The sequence below is a fragment of the Homo sapiens genome, chromosome 22 (assembly GCF_000001405.40).
Source record: "Homo sapiens chromosome 22, GRCh38.p14 Primary Assembly".
In the NCBI taxonomy this organism is placed as follows: domain Eukaryota; kingdom Metazoa; phylum Chordata; class Mammalia; order Primates; family Hominidae; genus Homo; species Homo sapiens.
Window position 1 is genome coordinate 40,805,162 of NC_000022.11, and position 19,125 is coordinate 40,824,286.

Below are 19,125 nucleotides of genomic sequence, written 5' to 3' on the forward strand. Positions count from 1 at the left end.
CTATCTCTATTAAAAATACAAAAATTAGCTGGGAGTAGTGGCACACGCCTGTAATCCCAGCTACTCGGGAGGCTGAGGCAGGAGAATCGCTTGAACCTGGGAGGCAGGAGAATCGCTTGAACCAGAGGTTGCAGTGAGCCAAGTTCGTGCTACTACACTCTAGCCTGGGCAACAGAGTGAGTGAGACTTCGTCTCAAAAAAAGATAGCAGAGGAATACAGAAGAGTAGTTGGAATGCTGCAGTGTGATGAGGACTCAACCCAACATTCCTGGCTTTGAAGATGGGATAAAAAGCCACTAGCCAAGGAATGTGGCAGCCTCTAGAAGCTGGAAAAGGCAAGGAAATGGATTATCCCCTAGAGCACACATGTCCAACCTTTTAGGGATAATCCTGGAACATACTGGAAGAAGAAGAATTGTCTTGGGCCACACATAAAATATACTAACACTAATGAGAGCTGATGAGCTTAAAAAAAGTTCTGTGCATAATTTTTGTGATATCCGCCACACCAGATAAGCAAAAAAGTCCTCGCATTCAAAGGGCTGGACACGGCTGCAGGCCTAGAGTCTCCAAAAAGGAATACAGCTCTGCTGACACTTTGATTTTAACTCTGTGAGACCCACATCAGTCTGATCTACAGATCTACAAGAACTACAGAAAATAAATTTGTGTTATTTTAAGCCACTAAGTCTTGGTCATTTGTTACAGCAGCAATAGAAAACTAATACAGCCGGATTACTATTACGCAAATTGTGGACACAAACACTGGGAAGCAGAAGGAAGCCCTGGGCCAGCTTTCAGGTTGACTGACTGGGTGCCACAGTAATACCAGACAGGCAGTACCAGTCCCAGCTAGTAACTGTGAGTATGGGAACCTGACATGCCAAAGGTGACTTGGAGCACCCAGCTGGAACAGGAAATTCTGTGCCCAGAAAGCTAACCATTATCATATTTTGCCAGAAACCCATTCCACTTTTTTGCTACAATCCCTGGAGGCTGGAAGCAGTAAACAGATAGGCAGAGGCAGGGGGAAAGCTGTGAAGTGGGGAGGAAACTAAAAGCTGACCAGTTTTAACCAATTAAAGGAAAGGGTACACACACATACACACACATGTATGGATTTCTTTTAGGCTTTGTTAGAAAACGTAAGTGTAAATGTGAGGGTTAAATATTTAAAGTTGAAATGTAGGCTTCCATTTCCAGCAATATGGTAGCCTAGACAACGTGCTGCAAAATACCTAGAAATGTCGAATAAAATATATATAACAAATATCCTTTAAATGCTTAGCTGAGCTTGCAAGAAAGTAAGGGAAATCCATTGGGGCCAGAAAGAAGATTAAAAACCTACAGGGTTATGAAGGCTCTTCTATTTTGGTTGTCTGAGGATTTTTTTTGCCAGTCTAATTGCTCAAGGGGCTTAAAAAAAAAGGTGAAATTAACATATTATAAAATTAACCATTTTAAAGTATTCCATTCTATATATTCATAATATTATTCAACCAGTACCAAAGTTCCAAAATATTTTCATCATCCCAAAGAAAATCTCATACTCATTAAGCAAGTACTTCCCATTTCCCCCTTCACTCAGTTCCTGGCAGCCACTAATCGGCTTTCTGTCTCTATTCTGGATATTTACTCTAAAGGAAATCATGTAACCTGTGACTTTTTGCTACCGGCTTTTCCTTTCTTGTCTTAGAGATGGGGTCTTGCTATGTTGCCCAGGCTGGAGTACTGTCTGTACCTATTCATAGGCACAATCATTGTATACTACAGCCTTGAACTCCTGGCTCAAGTGATCCTTCTGCCTCACTCTCCCAAGTAGCTATGACTACTGATGATTGCCACCATGCCCGGCCATGGCTTCTTTACACTTATCATGCTTTCAAGGTTCACCCATCTTGTAGCACATACAAATTCTTCATTCCTTTTTATAGCTGAGTGTTCCATTGTGTGTATATGCCACATTTTATCTATTCAAAATGTTTTGGAATGAGATAGAGGTGGTGGTTATACAACATTGTGAATGTATTAAATACCACTGAACTATGCTTGAAATAAGTTTATGTTGTATGAATTATATCTCAATTAAAAAAATTAATCCTCACAACAACCCAGTGAAGCAGGCACTATCATTCTCTTTATTTTATAGACAAGGAAGCAGATGCCAAAAGGTACAGCAATTTTCCTAAAGTCAGACAGCTTGTGATAGAATCAGTATTTGAACATAGGCAGCCTGACTACAGAACTCACGCTCTTACTATAATTAAAACTTTTTAAAAATTACTAATATAGAAATAAAAATTAGAGGCCAGGTGCGGTGGCTCATGCCTGTAATCCCACCACTTTGGGAGGCCAAGGTGGACGGATCATGAGGTCAGGATATCGAGACCATCTTGGCTAACATAGTGAAACCCCTTCTCTACTAAAAATACAAAAAATTAGCTGGGTGTGGCAGCGTACACCTGTAGTCCCAGCTACTCAGGAGGCTGAGGCAAGAGAATAGCATGAACCCGGGAGGCGGAACTTGCAGTGAGCCGAGATCGCGCCACTGCACTCCAGACTGGGTGACAGAGCAAGACTCCATCTCAAAAAATAATAATAATAATAATGTACTCCAAATGCTAAAGGTAAATTTGGAACACAGCATTCTATACCTCAGGGACTTGCTATATTTGTCTCCTAGCCAAGCAAACACAAAGATGACTGTTTTTATAAGCAGCTGTTACCTGAAGCAAAATTATTTGTTATATATGTGAGTCTTATGCCAAGCTGTATAAGCATATAACTTTTCAGAATTTGAATTAAATTTATCTTAACATAAACACTCATTTTTTTCCCCTGAGGACTGTCTGTTCACTTACATAAAATTAGAAGGCACAAAATACCGAGAAGATAACCACAATGTACAATACTGTTGTGCGAGAGGCATAAAATAAATCCATTATTTTGAGTCCCACAGAATTCTAACCATCTATCTGAGTGGGAGTTCTAACGCTGACAGCAATTACAATTTTAAACAATCTATTTCCCAAGAGACACCCTTCTTTGTATCTCACTCAAAACATTTTTAATTACAACACTCTATCTTCCCACCCCCACAGCATTTAACCATTCAGTGTTGGGAGAATAAGTGACTTCCTACACTATATTGGCACTTGAAGCAGTGGAGTCCCTTCAGCTGAGAAGTGAGGAGATGGGGCAGGGTAGTTAAGGGGTCTGCCCAAAGCCAGAGTGGCAGAGGCAAGGTTACAACCAAGATCTCTGACTCCTACTCCTACTGTTTATTGTTCTCCTACAGAAGTTCTCAACCTTTTTTCAATGAAGACACACATGACGTTGAAATTTTCTTTTCCACTTATAAAAGTGTACACAACACACACACATAAGATCTGGGAAAATCAAACAACTAATTCTTAAGAATGATTATATGGGAAGGGAGGGAATTAAGAGTGGTTTCCATTTCTCATGCTACGCATCTCTGTACAATGTTTTTATAAAGAAGCATGTGTTAAACATTTCCGTTTTGAAGTGGGTAAGAGGCAAATATTTTTTGTAAAAGACATCAGAACACAAGATATAATACAGTCTAGTGATTCTCAAACTATAGTCTGGAGATCCCTAAAAGTCCCCAAATCCTTTCTAGGAGGTTTTGTAGGATTAAAAACCTTTTCATAAGAATCATTATGAAATAATAAAATGCTATTTGCCTTTCTCATTCTTATTCTCTCACAGTGTGTAGCAAAATTTTCCAAAGGCTATGCATAAATGTGTGATATTGCAACAGACTGAATTCAGAAGCAGATAAAAGGATCCAGCTATCTTCTATCAAGTCAAAGAGAGGTTTGCAAAACTATACATCAATGCCATTCATCTTATGACGTTTTGGAAAATATGGTTTAAAAAATATAGCTTATGTATGTTAACATGTAATGGATGTATTTTACCTTTTTTTTTTTGTAGAGGCGAGACAACATTGGAATTTTAGGTATGAGCAACCACACCCAGCTAATGTATTTTTAATGATTTTTAATGAATTAACAAATATCTTGGCCGGGCTCAGTGGCTCATGCCTGTAATCCTAGCACTTTGGGAGGGCGAGGTAGGAAGACTGCTTGAGGCCAAGAGTTCAAGACCACCATGGCCAACAACATAGACCACATCTCTTTAAAAAAACAAACAAACAAAAAGGCTCACACCTGTAACCCCACTTTGGGAGGCCGAGGTGGGCGGATTGCTTGAGCCCAGGAGTTCGAGACCAGCCTGAGCAACATGGTGAAACATGTAGAAACCCAGTCTCTACAAAAAAATTAAAAAAAAAAAAATTAGCCAGCGTGGTGGTGCACGCCTGTAATCCCAGCTACTTGGGAAGCTGAAGTGGGAGAATTGCTTGAGCCTGGGCTGTTGGGGCTACAGTAAGCTGAGATTGTGCCACTGCACTCCAGCCTGGGTACACAGTGAGACCCTGTCTCAAAAAAAAAACCAAAAAACAAAACCAAATATCTCAATGATTTCTCAGTTTTAATTTCTAACACAATAATATTGATTGTTATAACCACATAAGCAAGACTCTGGGGTTGGTGAAAATTTTTAGGAGTGTGAATGGGTCCTATGAGTATAGTTTGAACAGAGGCCATTAACTACAAAAAAAATACATTATTAACAAACTTCATTATTATATACTATCATCTAACCTGACATCATCACACTACCTCTGGGTTGGCCACTGTCCTTTCCAGGAAAACTCTATAAAAAGGTAAATACCTCCAGGAAGCTATATATTATATAGGATATTAATTATATCCTACAATTAATGTCTTACAGATGATCATTTATTAGGGTTTTTTTAAAATGATGGGCTGTGATATTATGATGCAAAGTATATATCTGGTCCTCATCCTAGGCTCCTGACACAGAGCTCCTGGTAAAATTCTTGTAATTTCCTGAATGATAGGAATGTCTTTTGTTATAATAGTGTCTTAGTCCCTGGTTCCTGATACAAGAGCATCCAAGACCCTTGGAATCTCCAGAGTGCTAACAGTGTCTTTTTGTATACTGGTGGTCCCTATCTTTTAGTGCATTAATTGCATCTTCAGCTGTATCTAATATGTTCAGAAATCTGTGCTTGAATCTGAACATATCACTAAGCTTCAACAATTAACAAATTCATAGCTATGCATTAAATATTCTTTTTTTTTTTTTTTTTGAGACAGAGTTTCACTCTTGTTGCCCAGGCTGGAGTGCAATGGCGTAATCTCAGCTCACTGCAACCTCCGCCTCCCGGGTTCAAGTGATTCTCCTGCCTCAGCCTCCTGAGTAGCTGGGATTACAGGCATGCGCCACTACGCCCGGCTGATTTTGAGTTTTTAGTAGAGACACGGTTTCTCCATGTTGGTCAGGCTAGCCTCAAACTCCCAACCTCAGGTGATCCGCCCACCTTGGCCTCCCAGAGTGCTAGGATTACAGGCGTAAGCCACCGAGCATTAAATATTCTAATAGTAAATTTTTAATCGATCAAAGCAAAGCATGCACATAGTTTAAAAAATCACATAGTATAAATGACAAAATATAGCAGTTTTTGCCCCACTCCTCTCTATTTTATCCAATCTTCCTTCAGAGAGGCAATTAAATTCTTCTAGTTGTTTGTTTTGGAATTTATACATCTCCATATAATAATATACTGATATCTTATTAATCATTTTTAGACATTATTTACATTCTCTTATGGGGAATGAGAATTCAGCTCTCTTATACCACATTCCCTCTTTTTTTGTGGTTATTGTTTTGAGACAGGGTCTCACTCTATTGCCCTGGCTGGAGTGCAGTGGCACAATCTCAGCTCACTGCAACCTCCACCTCTGGGTGGAGGTCAATTAATCCTCTCACCTCAGCCTCCCAGGTAGCTGGGACCACAGACGTGAGCCACCACACCCAGCTAATTTTTGTATTTTTTGTAGAGACAGGGTTTTGCCATGTTGCCCAGGCTGGTCTTGAATCCCTCTCTTTATTCTCTCCATCCTTCTAATAGTTAAGATTTTTGCTTAAATCAATATTCAGTGTTCCCATGATTATCATGTATTAACTTTTATTTTTAATTTTTGTTTTTTTTTTTAGTAGAGATGCGGTTTCACTGTGTTGGTCAAGCTGGTCTCAAACCCCTGGCCTCGAGTGATCTACCCGTCTCAGACTCCCGAAGTGCTGGGATTACAGGAGTGAGTCAATGAGCCTGGCCAATCGTGCAGTAACTTTTAAATTGTAGTCATTTTATTTCTAGATTTCTTTTTTTTTTGAGACAGGGTCTCATTCTGTCGCCCAGGCTGGAGTGCAGTGGTGCAATCGTGGCTCACTGCAACCTTGGCTTCCCAGACTCAAGTGATTCTCCAGCCTCAGACTCCTGAGTAGCTGAGACTACAGGTATGAGCCAGCACAGTGCTGGCATCTGCTTCTGGTGAGGGCCTCAGGTGGCTTATGATCATGGTGGAAGGTGAAAGGGGAACAGGTATGTCACATGGTAAGAGAGGGAGTAAGAGAGAGAGGCGTGGGTACCAGGCTCTTTTAAATAACCAGCTCTCCCATGAACTAACAGTGAGAACTCACTCATCACCAAGGGGATGGCACCAAGCCATTTATGAGGGATCTGCCCCCATGACCCAAACACCTCCCACTAGGCCTCACCTCCAACACTGGGGGTCACATTTCAACATGAGATTTGGAGGGGTCAAACATCCAAACTGAGATTTGGAGGGGTCAAACATCCAAACTGTATCAGTCACATAAACGATTTTTAGCCTAAGTTCTTGGGGATTTGGGGGTTCCTCTTTTTTGTGAACAATTCTGAACTGACACCTGGATTTCTTTCTTTTTCTCTTTTTCTTTCTCTCTCTCTCTCTCTCTCTTTCTTTTTAACTTATTTATTTTTAGAGATGAGGTCTCACTACATTGCCCAGGCTGGTCTCAAACTCCTGGCCTCAAGTGTTTTGCCTGCCTCAGCCTCTCAAAGTGCTATGATTACAGGCGTGAGCCACCACGCCCAGCCTGGCACCTGGATTTCTTAAGAATGCATCATCATCTACATTTCAGGCTACTTACTAAAAAAAAAAGATGGTTTATTCATTCTGGGCTATATCTCTCCTGTAAATATCTAAAGTATACTTTTTAATTTGGTCAACACAATCCACATATGAAGTTGGGCTTACAGATAGAGTAAGAATGAAACACTGGGTAAATCTGGTCAAGACTTGGTCCCCCCAGCGTGTGCAATCTTATGGGAATAATAGATAAGAACATACATAAATACAGAAGCATATTTTCATGCCTTTTAAGCATAAAACAATGATGTTTGGGTTGGTATACCAACCAAATCACCAAATGTGACTGACTGTTTCTAAAATGTTGATTCATCCTAGCAGGGTGAAAACTAGTGGTGGGGGTAAAAAAGACAATGCTAGTCCAAAATCAGTTTCCAGAGGGGTCCCGACGTGGCTGAGTCACAGCAGCACCACTGAAATCAATGTATAGCCTCTCCTGATTTAGAACACTGCATTATAGAACAGAAAGATTATTTTAAAGCCAGACACGGTGGCTCACACCTGCAATCCCAGCACTTTAGGAGGTGGGAGAATGGCTTGAGCTCAGGAGATTGAGGCTGCAGTGAGCTGTGATCATCCCACAGCACTCCAGCCTGGGAAACACAGTGAGACTTAGTCTCAAAACAAATAAAAATTTAAAAAAATTTTTAAAAACCACCTAAGATGTTTTCTGTGGTTTGAGCTAATAAAATTCTAAAGATTAAAAGCCACTTACAATGGCTTTCATATTTAAAAATGTTATTCACCTCATCAGAGTTAATGTAAGTCTTTTCCCTGACATAACAATCAAGCTAACTCATACATACACAGACAGATAGGCAAGTTACACAAATGGCCTCATGGATGACACTCTCGAGTGTTTAGGGATAAAATATAGGTTTACGTCCCAAGTATAGTATATATTACATAAGTAACTTCAAATCTCTATGTCTCAATTTCCTCATTTGTAATTTTGAGACCGGTATTTGTCAAGGTTGCTATGAGAAGTTAGAATCAAATTATGGAAAGTAGCTGGGCATGGTGGCTCACACCTGCAATCCCAGCACTTTGGGAGGCTGAGGTGGGTGGATCACTTGAGGTCAGGAGTTCGAGACCAGCCTGGCCAACACGGTGAGACCTCATCTCTACTAAAAATACAAAAATGAGCCAGGAGTGGTGGCACACACCTGTAGTCCCAGGTACTCTGGAGGATGTGGCAGGAGAATCACTTGAACCTGGGAGGCAGAGGTTGCAGTAAGCCGAGATCGTGCCACCGCACTCCAGCCTGGGTGACAGAGCGAGACTCTGTATAAAAAAAAAATACCCTCTCTATTAAAAATACAAAAAGATTAGCCGGGTGTGGTGGCAGACACCTGTAGTCCCAGCTACTCGGAAGGCTGAGGCAGGAGAATGGCGTGAACCCAGGAGGCGGAGCTTGCAGTGAGCCGAGATCACGCCACTGCACTCCAGCCTGGGCGACAGAGCGAGACTGAGTTTCAAAAACAAAAACAAAAAATTATGGTTGGCACCTAGCATCATACCAGGCACACAGGTGGCACTCAACAATTGTTGGTTTCTACATGTCCTTTATAGCTATAGTATCTGTTAGTAGTAGAAACCACTGTTAATTTTAGGGCCCTAAAAGGAGTAATGTCTTCTCAAGTTCCTTCCAAAAGAGCAATTGCTATTTAGTAAAAAATAAACACCAACTGCTCTTTCAGAAGGAGCTTCAGAAAGGTAGAAGGGTCAACAGTATAGAATACTTACAAAGAACTGGAATCAATTAAGAATGCAAAAACAGTCAGTAGATGTATAGAGCACTCTTGACATAAGTAACTCCATCTTAGAAAAAGACTCCTATCTTTCATTTCAAAAAGCACTTTGACAACAGGGACCAGATGTTTTTCCAGATAAAGACACAACCAAGCATGCTCTTCCACTATCAGTCCTTACCAGAAGACTCTGTGACCATAAAAAGAACAGGACTTAAAAAACTCAAAATGGTCTTAACAGACACTGTCTTGCTGTCACTTGTTATAAAAGCCTGATATCTGTGTCCAAAGGCTCTGCCCACATCAAGGATTCTTTCTTACAAGACCAACACACTGCCATGATGAAACCAGGATACTTGTCTATATCACTCTCCCCGGACTGGTTAGGTAACCCTTTTTCCTCACCCTTTTCTCTTGATGTTCAATGTTACTTTGTTGCAGAATGTTTAATCTACATCATTTATGTATTAATTAGGTATACTATTATATATGATTTACAATATTGACTGACTACCTAGTGAATGAGAAGTACTAATAAAAATTGCCTCCTTGAGAACTCCATGTAACTTGTCTTTTATAACTGAAATAACACAATAAAAGTCTGACATTGTGAAAAGACACAAATGTGTGTGTACCTGGTTATCCATGACCTTAAACCATTCACAATAGTAGATTAAGCTGTTAGGAAGTCAGAGTTGACCTTTGGAAGAACAGTTCCAGTGGTCAAAGTAGGATGAGGAAAGGCAGTACGTGCAGAATATATATATATATATATATATATATATATATATATTGTTGTTGTTGTTGTTGTTTTGTTTTGTTTTGGTTTTTTTTGTTTTTGAGACGGAGTCTTGCTCTGTCGTCCAGGCTGGAGTGCAGTGGCGCAATCTTGGCTCACTGCAAGCTCCACCTCCCGGGTTCATGCCGTTCTCCTGCCTCAGCCTCCCGAGTAGCTGGGACTACAGGCGCCTGCCTCCATGCCCGGCTAATATTTTGTATTTTTAGTAGAGATGGGGTTTCACCGTGTTAGTCAGGATGGTCTCGATCTCCTGACCTCGTGATCTGCCCGCCTCAGCCTCCCAAAGTGCTGGGATTACAGGTGTGAGCCACCACACCCGGCCCAGAATATTCTTTAAATAAGCTTAGCACAAAGGGAAAGAGAACAGGCAGAGGCTGAAGAAGCTACCAGATTCCAGATCAGATTGGTATAGTTTTCTGATGGGACAGACCTGACCATGTTTGAGGGCTGAACAGAAGCAGATACTAGGTTAAAGCTATAGGAAAGAGATGAAAATTACTGGAGCAAAGTCCTGGAAGAAAACTGGCCATGGGCTGGAGGGGAGGACAAAGATTGAAGGTAGCAGACACTGAATATGTCTATTTTTCCTCTGAGACCAGCAGAATGTAGAAAACACGAGTACAACTGTAATTGGAAAAAACTGAAAAAACTCATCCCAAGTAGGTTCTATTTTATCTAGAGAGTAAAAGGTAAGATCATCTGCAACAAGTGAAGGGAATGGGTGGAGATGGCCATGAGGCAAGAGAACATTTCAATTCCCTTAAATTTCTAAAACTAGGTATAAGTGCTGTATTTGCAAGAATATACTTGAGACAGAAATGAATAATTATGGTCTTACTACAACGTTCCATTATGCTAGATGCTCCACAAATATAATCACATTTACTTCCCACAAGAACCCAGTTAAGTGAGGCATTGTTATTGTCCCTGTTTTATAGTTCGATTGATGATGGCATTCATAGTTAAGCTTTACTACAGAACCTTTTTTTTCAGCTATTATGCCATATTTGCTTCTTAAAAAATTAAGTTATACAATACTATGTATGACGATATAATTTCATTAATCGTTTTTGATTCAGGCATAAACAAAGTTAGAAAAGTAATTCCAGGCCAGGCGCAGTGGCTCACGCCTGTAATCCCAGCACTTTGGGAGGCCAAGGCAGGCGGATCACCTGAGGGCGGGAGCTCAAGACCAGGCTGACCAACATGGAGAAACCCCGTCTCTACTGAAAATACAAAATTAGCCAGGCGTGGTGGCACATGCCTGTAAACCCAGCCACTCGGCGAGAGGCTGAGGCAGGAGAATCGCTTGAACCCAGGAGGCGGAGGTTGTGGTGGGCCGAGATTGCATCACTGCACTCCATGCACTCCAGCCTGGGCAACAAGAGCGAAACTCCATCTCAAAAAAAAAAAAAGAAAGAAAGAAAGAAAAAGAAAAAAAGAGAAAAATAGGCAACAAGTGAAAAAAAGAAGTATCTTTGTAGATTAAATAGAAATATATTACCACTATTGCCAGTCACTCTCTCTATAGCAGGAGTCAGAAAACTATGGCCTATGGGCCAAATCCAATCTAATATCTGTTTTTGAAAACAGTATTTTATTGGAACACAGCTCTGTCCATTCATTTACTGTCTACAGCTGATTTCACACGACCATGGCAATGTTGGGTAGCTGTGACAACGGTACACAAAGCCTAAAATATTTCCCATCTGCTCTCTTTAAAAAGTTTGCCAATCTCTATGTTCTTTTATAGCACTTAACTGTATCTAAAATTATTCTACTTATTTTTTATTTATTCATTTATTTTTTATTGTTTTTTTTTTTTTTTCTTGAGACGGAGTCTTGCTCTTGTCACCCAGGCTGGAGTGCAATGGCACAATTTTGGCTCACTGCAACCTCTGCCTCCCAGGTTCAAGTGATTCTCCTGCTTCAGCCTCCCGAGTAGCTGGGATTACAGGCGCCCACCACCATGCCTGGCTACTTTTTGTATTTTTAGTAGAGACGGGGTTTCACCATGTTAGCCAGGCTGGCCTCGAACTCCTGACCTCAGGCGATCCGCCTGCCTCAGCCTCCCAAAGTGCTGGGATTACAGGCGTGAGCCACCGCACCCAGCCTATTCATTTATTGTCTGACTCCCCTATTGCAATGCATAGTTCATGAAGAAAAAGACCTTCTCTACTGTACTCCTTGCACCTAGAACAGCGTGTGGCACATAGAATGCACTCAATAAAGGTGTTTAATGAACATTTATTGCAAGAAGGAAGAGAAAAACATTTCCCATCTTCTCACTTTCTTCTCTTAGATGCACTCCAACTATTTCCCCCACCACTCCACCAAAACTGGTCTTTTCAATTAACCACTGGATTTATCAACATGATAAATTCTCAGTTATTTCTCAGTCCTCACCTTACTTGACCCATCAGCAGCATCTGACCCAGCTGGTCTACTTCCTTCCCCAGAAACACTTTCTTCACGTGGCTTTCACTCTTAGTTCTTAGCTTCCCTCCTGCAGTACTGATCCATCCTTCGTTTGTCTCCTTTGCTGGTGCAATCTTATTTTCTCGGCCTCTTAATGGTTAGCCTGCTCCAAGACTCAGTCATTGAGATTCTTCTGTCAGTCCATACACACTTCCCTAGTGAGCTCATCTAGTCTCACGACTACTCTTAGGCATTTCAAACTCCTCCAAAACCAAAGCCAAATTTATCATTTCCCCCAAAACCTTCTCCTTCACAGCCTCTGCCATCCCAGTAAATACCACCATCCCTCCAGTTACTGAAGCCAAAAACTCTTGGAGTCAACCAACCCTCATTTTATAAATATATTCCAGGTCAATGATCACTTCTACCATGTCTGCTACCACCCGGATCCAAGTCACCATCATCTCTCGCCTGATAATTGCTTGTCCCCTGTTCCCTTACATTCTACTCTCAACACAGCAGCCAGGGTGATCACGTTTAAAGGTAAATCAGCAAGTTCAACAGCTAGCCAGAGTGAAAGTCTCACACAATTTGGCCCCCTGAAACCTATTTGCCTCTTTGTTCCCTCCACTCCGGAAACACAGGCCTCCATGCCCATCTTAAAGCAAGTCACGCAAGCGTCCATCTCAGCCTTCATGCTGGCTGAAAGGCTCTTCTGGCTGAACTGAATGAACCAGGCTTCCTGAATTAGGCATTTTCATGAAATGCTGTGTCACTTAATTCTCTAAACTCTGTGAGGTAGGTATCACTTCCCCCACTTTACAGATTAAGAAAGTAAGGTTTACAGGGCATCTAGCTAACAAATGATGGAGTTAGGGTTAAATCCAGATTAGTCTACAGAGAAGGTGAGCTCTCAGTGAAGTTTCTGGAGGCTAAACAGAGGATTCAGTGATGTTCCTCTGAAGTCACAGTGATTTTAACAGCTAAAGGTGTGTGCTAACAACTGGTGAAGAATATGAGAAAAGGCAGTCAAAGAGATAAAAGAACCACAAGAGGAGTCACCCAAGCCAAAAGTGGAAAGTTTTAAGGAAAAGAGGGGAGAGGGGAAGTGTCAAGTGGAACCTAGACACCAGAAGCCCAAGAATCAAGCGTATACCTCATAACAAACCACACTTGTGGTAGACAGGAACCCAGATCTTGATTTAGAAAGAAAGAAAAAAAAGCCAGGCACAGTGGCTCATGCCAGCAGTTTAGGACGCCAAATCGAGAGGATCGTTTGAGGCCAGGAATTCGAGACCAGCCTGGGCAACACTGCCAGACCCCAAAAATTTTTTTTAAAAATGTAGCCGGGTGTGGTGGCTCACACCTGCAGTCCCAGCTACTCAGGAAGCTGAGGTGGGCGGATCGCTGGAGCCCGGGAGATCGAGGCTGCAGTGAGTCGTGATCGCGCCACTGCACTCCAGCTTGGGCAACAGAGCAAGACCCTGTCCGGAAAAAAAAAAAAAAAAAAAAGGATCTATCTTCTCCTGCCAATAACGGTGCCCAGAGCTATCCTACTAGGTATTGCCACTTGCCCGCGGCAAGCGTGAAGACAGGCTGTAGGGAAGCATGTGACTAAGCAACACGGCTTCACACCTACGTTCTCCTCCGGGCCAGTAAAGCAAAGTGTGTGAGTGTGCGGTGGTAGCCTGACCTTAAACTTCCCACGGCAAAGATGCGGACCCTGAGCGGGCACGTGTGAACACGGCTCTCTACCCCGCAGTCTCTAGGAGACCAGGAGGTGGCGGAGTCTCGGCCCTTACCCCGAATTCCTCCAACAACTTTCCGCCAATGGCCCATTCCTCTCTGCCCCACAGTCATGACAGTGGACCCCAACCCACACTACCTCCCTCTCAGACCCATCCCTCAGGCATATCCCGGGACTGGCCCCCGAGAAGCCTTATAACCCGTTGCGGCCCGGGCGTAAAGACCCCGTCTCACCACGGCTCCGGCCACGGCGTGGACCAGGCTTTCGTAGGACAGCACGGAAGCCATTGGTGCGGCTCCTCGAAGACCCAGCCACACTTTTCCCACAGATGCCGCAGCCAGTGGAGTTAGGAAAGGAGCACCGGAGCTCAGGGTGTGAGAGTCGCAATCCCCGCCCTCTCAAACCCGCCCGCCTGCCCTAGAACCACTTCCGGGTCGCGGGGCGGGAAAGCGGGGGGGGGGGGGCGGCTAAGAACGCCCCTGAACGCTGATTGGCCCCTGTGGGCGCGGGGCGGGACAGCGAGGTGTTCGCGGGGCTGGGCTCCAAGGCGCAAGGCGGCCTGACACCAGGTACCCGGCTCCCGGTTCCTCCGACGTTCTCTGGCGTTCCCGGGCCCTGACCAGTTCCTCCATCTCAGAAGTCTTAATGGCCTTCTTTTACTCTGGTGACAAAGATGGGGAAACTCAATGAGACTCCAGTCTCCCTGTTTCTCTGCGCCTGAGCTCTTTTCTATTCTGAAAGTCACATTTTGGCCAAGAGGAAAAAAACTCACTTGTGGACTTGGAAACTTCTTCCTCCAGAAAAACCCTTGAGTGTGGTGGGAAGAGATGTTGAGCATCAGGAGCCCAAAATACAAGACGCGAGTGGGAGCCTCCCCCTAGTTGGCAACTATGGAAGTCATTTAACCTCTTGGGTTTCCTCTGTGAAATGACAATGTACTAGTACCAACAATCCCCATCTGCTGTGAGGATTACGAAAGCCAATTTATGTAGTAGTACTTCATAAAATACTGAAGGAAAAAAATTTTTTTCCATGTTGCAAAGTGACTAACAAAATTACACAAAACTAAAGCAGCCACATTCAGCTTTAACCTGTCATACTGTGAGATTCTGCTTCAGGATGCTCCTCAGGGACTCAGGGATTCTTTCCTGAGACACCATCACCACTTGTCTTTACCATGTTTCCTTTTAGAATATCCTCGTGATAACTCCTCAGTGCTGACTACATGCCAGGCTTAGTGTTTTATGCCCATCATCACACTTAATCCCTGGGAGAGGGGTCTAACAAAGTTTAACCTGGCCGTTTTCACAAAATTTGCAGAAGATACTGCTTCCAGGAACATTCCCATCACGCCATAGAATCATGACGTGAAAGTGAAGGACCAAAAGTGAAGCGAAGATGATTTTGGGCTGGGCGCAGCGGCTCAGGCCTGTAATCCTAGCACTTTGGGAGGCCGTAGCGGGCAGATCACTTGAGGTCAGAAGTTTGAGACAAGCCTGGCCCATATGGCAAAACCCTGTCTCTATTAAAAATAGAAAAAATTAGCCGGACATGGTGGCACGCGCCTTGTAGAAATTACAATGTTGAAACTGCAGCTACTAGGGAGGCTGAGGCAGGAGAATCGCTTGAACCCAGGAAGCAAAGGTTGCAGTGAGCCAAGATTGCACCACTGCACTCTAGCCTGGGACAGAGTGAGACTCCTAAAAAAAAAAAAAAAAAGATTATTTTGGCATGGGAACATAGAAACTAGTTGGCTGTAAAACTTGAGAACTCAGTTCTCATTGACTCCTGATCAAATTGGGAGCTTGCTGTCAAGAATATACTGGATTATGCATCATAGTTATGAAAACATTGTTAATACTTTGTTTTGACGTTTTTGTATCTTACATACCAAAAACATTTTGATCAGCTTTTTTTTTTTTTTAAACCTGAGACAGTGTTTCTCTGCGTTGTCCAGGCTGGTCTTGTACTCCTGGGCTCAAGTGATCCACCTGCTTCAGCCACCCAAAGTGCTCGTATTACAGGCATGAGCCACTGTACCGGGCCTTGCAACCTTTTTTTTTTTTTTCAGATGGAGTTTCACTCTTGTGGCCCAGGCTTGGCTCACTGCAACCTCCGCCTCCCGGGTTCAAGTGATTCTCCTACCTCAGCCTCTCGAGTAGCTGGGATTACAGGCATGCGCTACCACGCCCAGCTAATTTTTGTATTTTTAGTAGAGACGGGGTTTCATCATGTTGGTCAGGATGGTCTCAAATCTCTTGACCTCGTGGTCCGCCCGCCTCGGCCTCCCAAAGTGCTGGGATTACAGGTGTGAGCCACAGCGCCCAGCATGATCAACTGAAGACTGACATACTGAAAACAGTATTTTTTTTTTTTTTTTTGAGACGGAGTATCGCTCTGTCACCTAGGCTGGAGTGCAGTGACGCGATCTTGACTCATGTTAGCCTCCATCTCCCGGGTTCAAGTGATTCTCCTGCCTCAGCCTCCCGAGTAGCTGGGACTACAGGTGCACGCCCCCATACCTGGCTCATTTTTGTATTTTTAGTGGAGACAGGGTTTCACCATGTTGGCCAGGCTGGTCTCGAACTCCTGACCTCAGGTGATCCACACACCTCGGCCTCCCAAAGTGCTCAAATTAGAGGTGTGAGCACTGCACCCAGCCAAAGTCATTTTCATATAATCAGTATGCACTGAAAAACGTAGACACTGCATAGCTACATCAGTTATTAACTGGAACTATGAAGCTGTGATGTTCGAGACACACACATACATACATATATATATACACGTATATATATATATATACGTATATATATATACGTATATATACGTATATATATATATATATATATATACACACATATACGTATATATATATATATATTTTTTTTTTTTTGAGACAGTTTTGCTCTTGTCGCCCAGGCTGGAGTGCAATGGCGCAACTTCAGCTCACTGCAACCTCTGCCTCCCAGGTTCAAGCAATTCTCCTTCCTCAGCCTCCCGAGTAGCTAGGACTATAGGCATGCACCACCACGCCTGGCTAATTTTTGTACTTTTTAGGGACAGGGTTTCACCATGTTGACCAGGCTGGTCTCGAACTCCTGACCTCACCCCCCCCCCCACCCCCTGGCCTCCCAAAGTGTTGGGATTACAGGCGTGAGCCACCGTGCCCGGTTGAGACATAATTTTTAAAAATTATAACTTAGTTGAGCACAGGGGGTCATGCCTGTAATCCCTGCACTTTGGGAGGCTGAGGCAGGAGGATTATTTGAAACCAGGAGTTCCAGACCAGCCTGGACAACAAAGTAAGACCTCATTGCTGTTAAAAACAAACAGATGGGCATGGTGGTGCATGCCTGCAGTCCCATCTACTTGGGAGGCTGAGGTGGGAGGATTGCTTGAGCCCAGGTCAAGGCTGTAGTGAGCTGCAATTGCATCACTGCACTCCAGTGTGGGCAACAGAGAAAGATTCTGTTTCAAAAAACCTAAGGATTGTAATTTTTGGCTGCTTTTTTCGTTCTAAACAAGTATCTACTTGTGTGTCCAATTTAGTGTTCATAATTACATTCTTTTCCTTAAAGAGGGTCCTTTGAATTATATAAGCATCATACCCCTTGACACTACATAAAGTATATAAAAAATTTAGGGCCATTCTATATACACCCATGCTATAAGAATTAAAGGAACCTAGCTAGTACTTGCCATTTCGTGTATGTTGCTTTTACACTGGCTTAAGTATGGTCAGGTTACTTACCCTGCAATCTAAAAATGTCCCAGTGATCTGTGTGAGTAAACTACTTAATTATGTATTAGATGCCTAGATTTTCAGAGCACCACAGACATTTACATTAGTTCTACTTACCTCCTGGCTTCTTAGAGCCGTAATTTTAAAATTAGGATTTCACCAAACGTCAAAGTTTTTATTTATTGCTAAACAACTTTATAGAAAACCATAAACTTACACTTCCACCAGCACTATATGAAAGGTCTCACTGAAAAATTGCCAACTTGACATACTATTTAAATTTGCTTTTTAAAGCTCAGTTACTCACTTTTGTTGCCTATTTACTTTAGGACATTTTCCTCTCCAAACTGTATGAGCTCTATTAAGTACATTATATACTGGTTGTAAATACTGGCACATATTGAACTTTTTATAATTACTGTACTATAATTTTTACTTAGTTTATTCTTGCCCTTATTTGGGGGCTCGTCATGCACTTCAATTATGCTGTGTCCCTTACTATTAGGAAGAAACCCCCTGGATGTACACATCAGCACATCAAGTGTGTGACACTCCTTATTTAACCAACCTTATTCAAATGTACATTTTAGTTTTCAGTTCCTTAAACAATTCTGCAAGAATCAACCTTGTACACAGAGGCAGCACAGTACAGAGTTTGGGAGAAAGCCCTTTGAAGCCACAAACCTCTGTATTCAAGAATCTCAGCTTTACAAATAATCAGCTGTGTTATCCTGGGCAATTTACTTATTAAGTGCTTCAGTTTCCTTATCTATAAAATTGTAAAGTGGTGCTAACAGTATCTACCCTTATGGTCATTATCAGAATTGATCCAATACTTGCAAACTGATTATAACAGGGCTTGGCACAAACACTACTTACCTGTGCCTACTCAGGTGCATTAATTTTAGTCATCAGCAAATCTCTAAAATGAAATTGTTTCTCCTTTATCTTATCAAACTAGTATTTCCTAGTATGGTAGACTGCTAGGTGTCACCCCAAGTCGTCTTTCCTGTTTCTACTCTTAAGTTTTTTCTTGAGCATGTGATCACACAGTTATGGATGACAAACTGGCTTTCCCTGCAGCTAAACATAGCCTGAACACACAAACTGACCAATGGGATATTAGAAGTAATAAAATGTTAACATCATATATTATCTTCAGTATCTCAGCGTGTTTCCCAGAGCCCCCTTCTCCTATTTCCTCAATTGGAGAATGAGCACCAGAGCAAGCAACTTTGGACTAGAAATGGAAGCTACCTTCTAAGTATGGCAGAATGCCTGCCTCTGAACAGCTACCCAAAATAAAGTACATGTTTTTTAGGGGTTCTTGTTTGCAGCACTTAATAGTCTGCAGCCTAATATACCTAGTAAATAACCTGAGTACCAGAGACATAAAATAGAACATATGCTACAAAAAGTCGGGGGTGGGGGGGGAAATTAAAAACTAGTTTTTGTTTTTTGAGACTGTGTTTCGTGATCTCAGCTCACTGCAACCTCTGCCTCCCAGGTTCAAGTGATTCTCCTGACTCAGCCTCCCGAGTAGCTGGAATTACAGGTGCCCAACACCATGCCTGGCTAGT

The 19,125-nt window shown here is 42.6% G+C and overlaps 1 protein-coding gene and 1 non-coding gene across 8 annotated transcripts in view, besides 1 other annotated feature; both read right to left on the reverse strand.

Moving 5' to 3' along the window:
- Nucleotides 1-14,185, reverse strand: part of SLC25A17 (solute carrier family 25 member 17) — a 49,717-nt gene extending 35,532 nt beyond the window's left edge. For 6 of the 7 annotated variants that reach the window (NR_104238.2, NR_104237.2, NR_104236.2 and 3 more), the window contains exon 1: nucleotides 14,034-14,185. Coding sequence is in view for 2 of the 7 variants with exons in the window: in NM_001282727.2 (NP_001269656.1) it covers nucleotides 14,034-14,087 (54 nt within the window). In the remaining 5 variants the exon portion in view is untranslated. Of the gene's footprint in view, nucleotides 1-12,041; nucleotides 12,217-14,033 lie in introns of all 7 variants that reach the window. The other variant, NR_104235.2, reaches the window with a different exon arrangement.
- MIR4766 (microRNA 4766) lies at nucleotides 8,722-8,797 on the reverse strand. Its single transcript, NR_039923.1, has one exon. It is a non-coding gene; the product is annotated as a microRNA 4766 (primary transcript).
- Nucleotides 12,158-12,217: an enhancer, noted in NCBI's record as "active region_19100". NCBI's record gives its function as "activates an Ori minimal core promoter by ATAC-STARR-seq in GM12878 lymphoblastoid cells {active_cell/tissue: GM12878}" and the evidence as "EXISTENCE:reporter gene assay evidence [ECO:0000049][PMID:35858748]".
- Nucleotides 14,186-19,125: the final 4,940 nt, after the last annotated feature.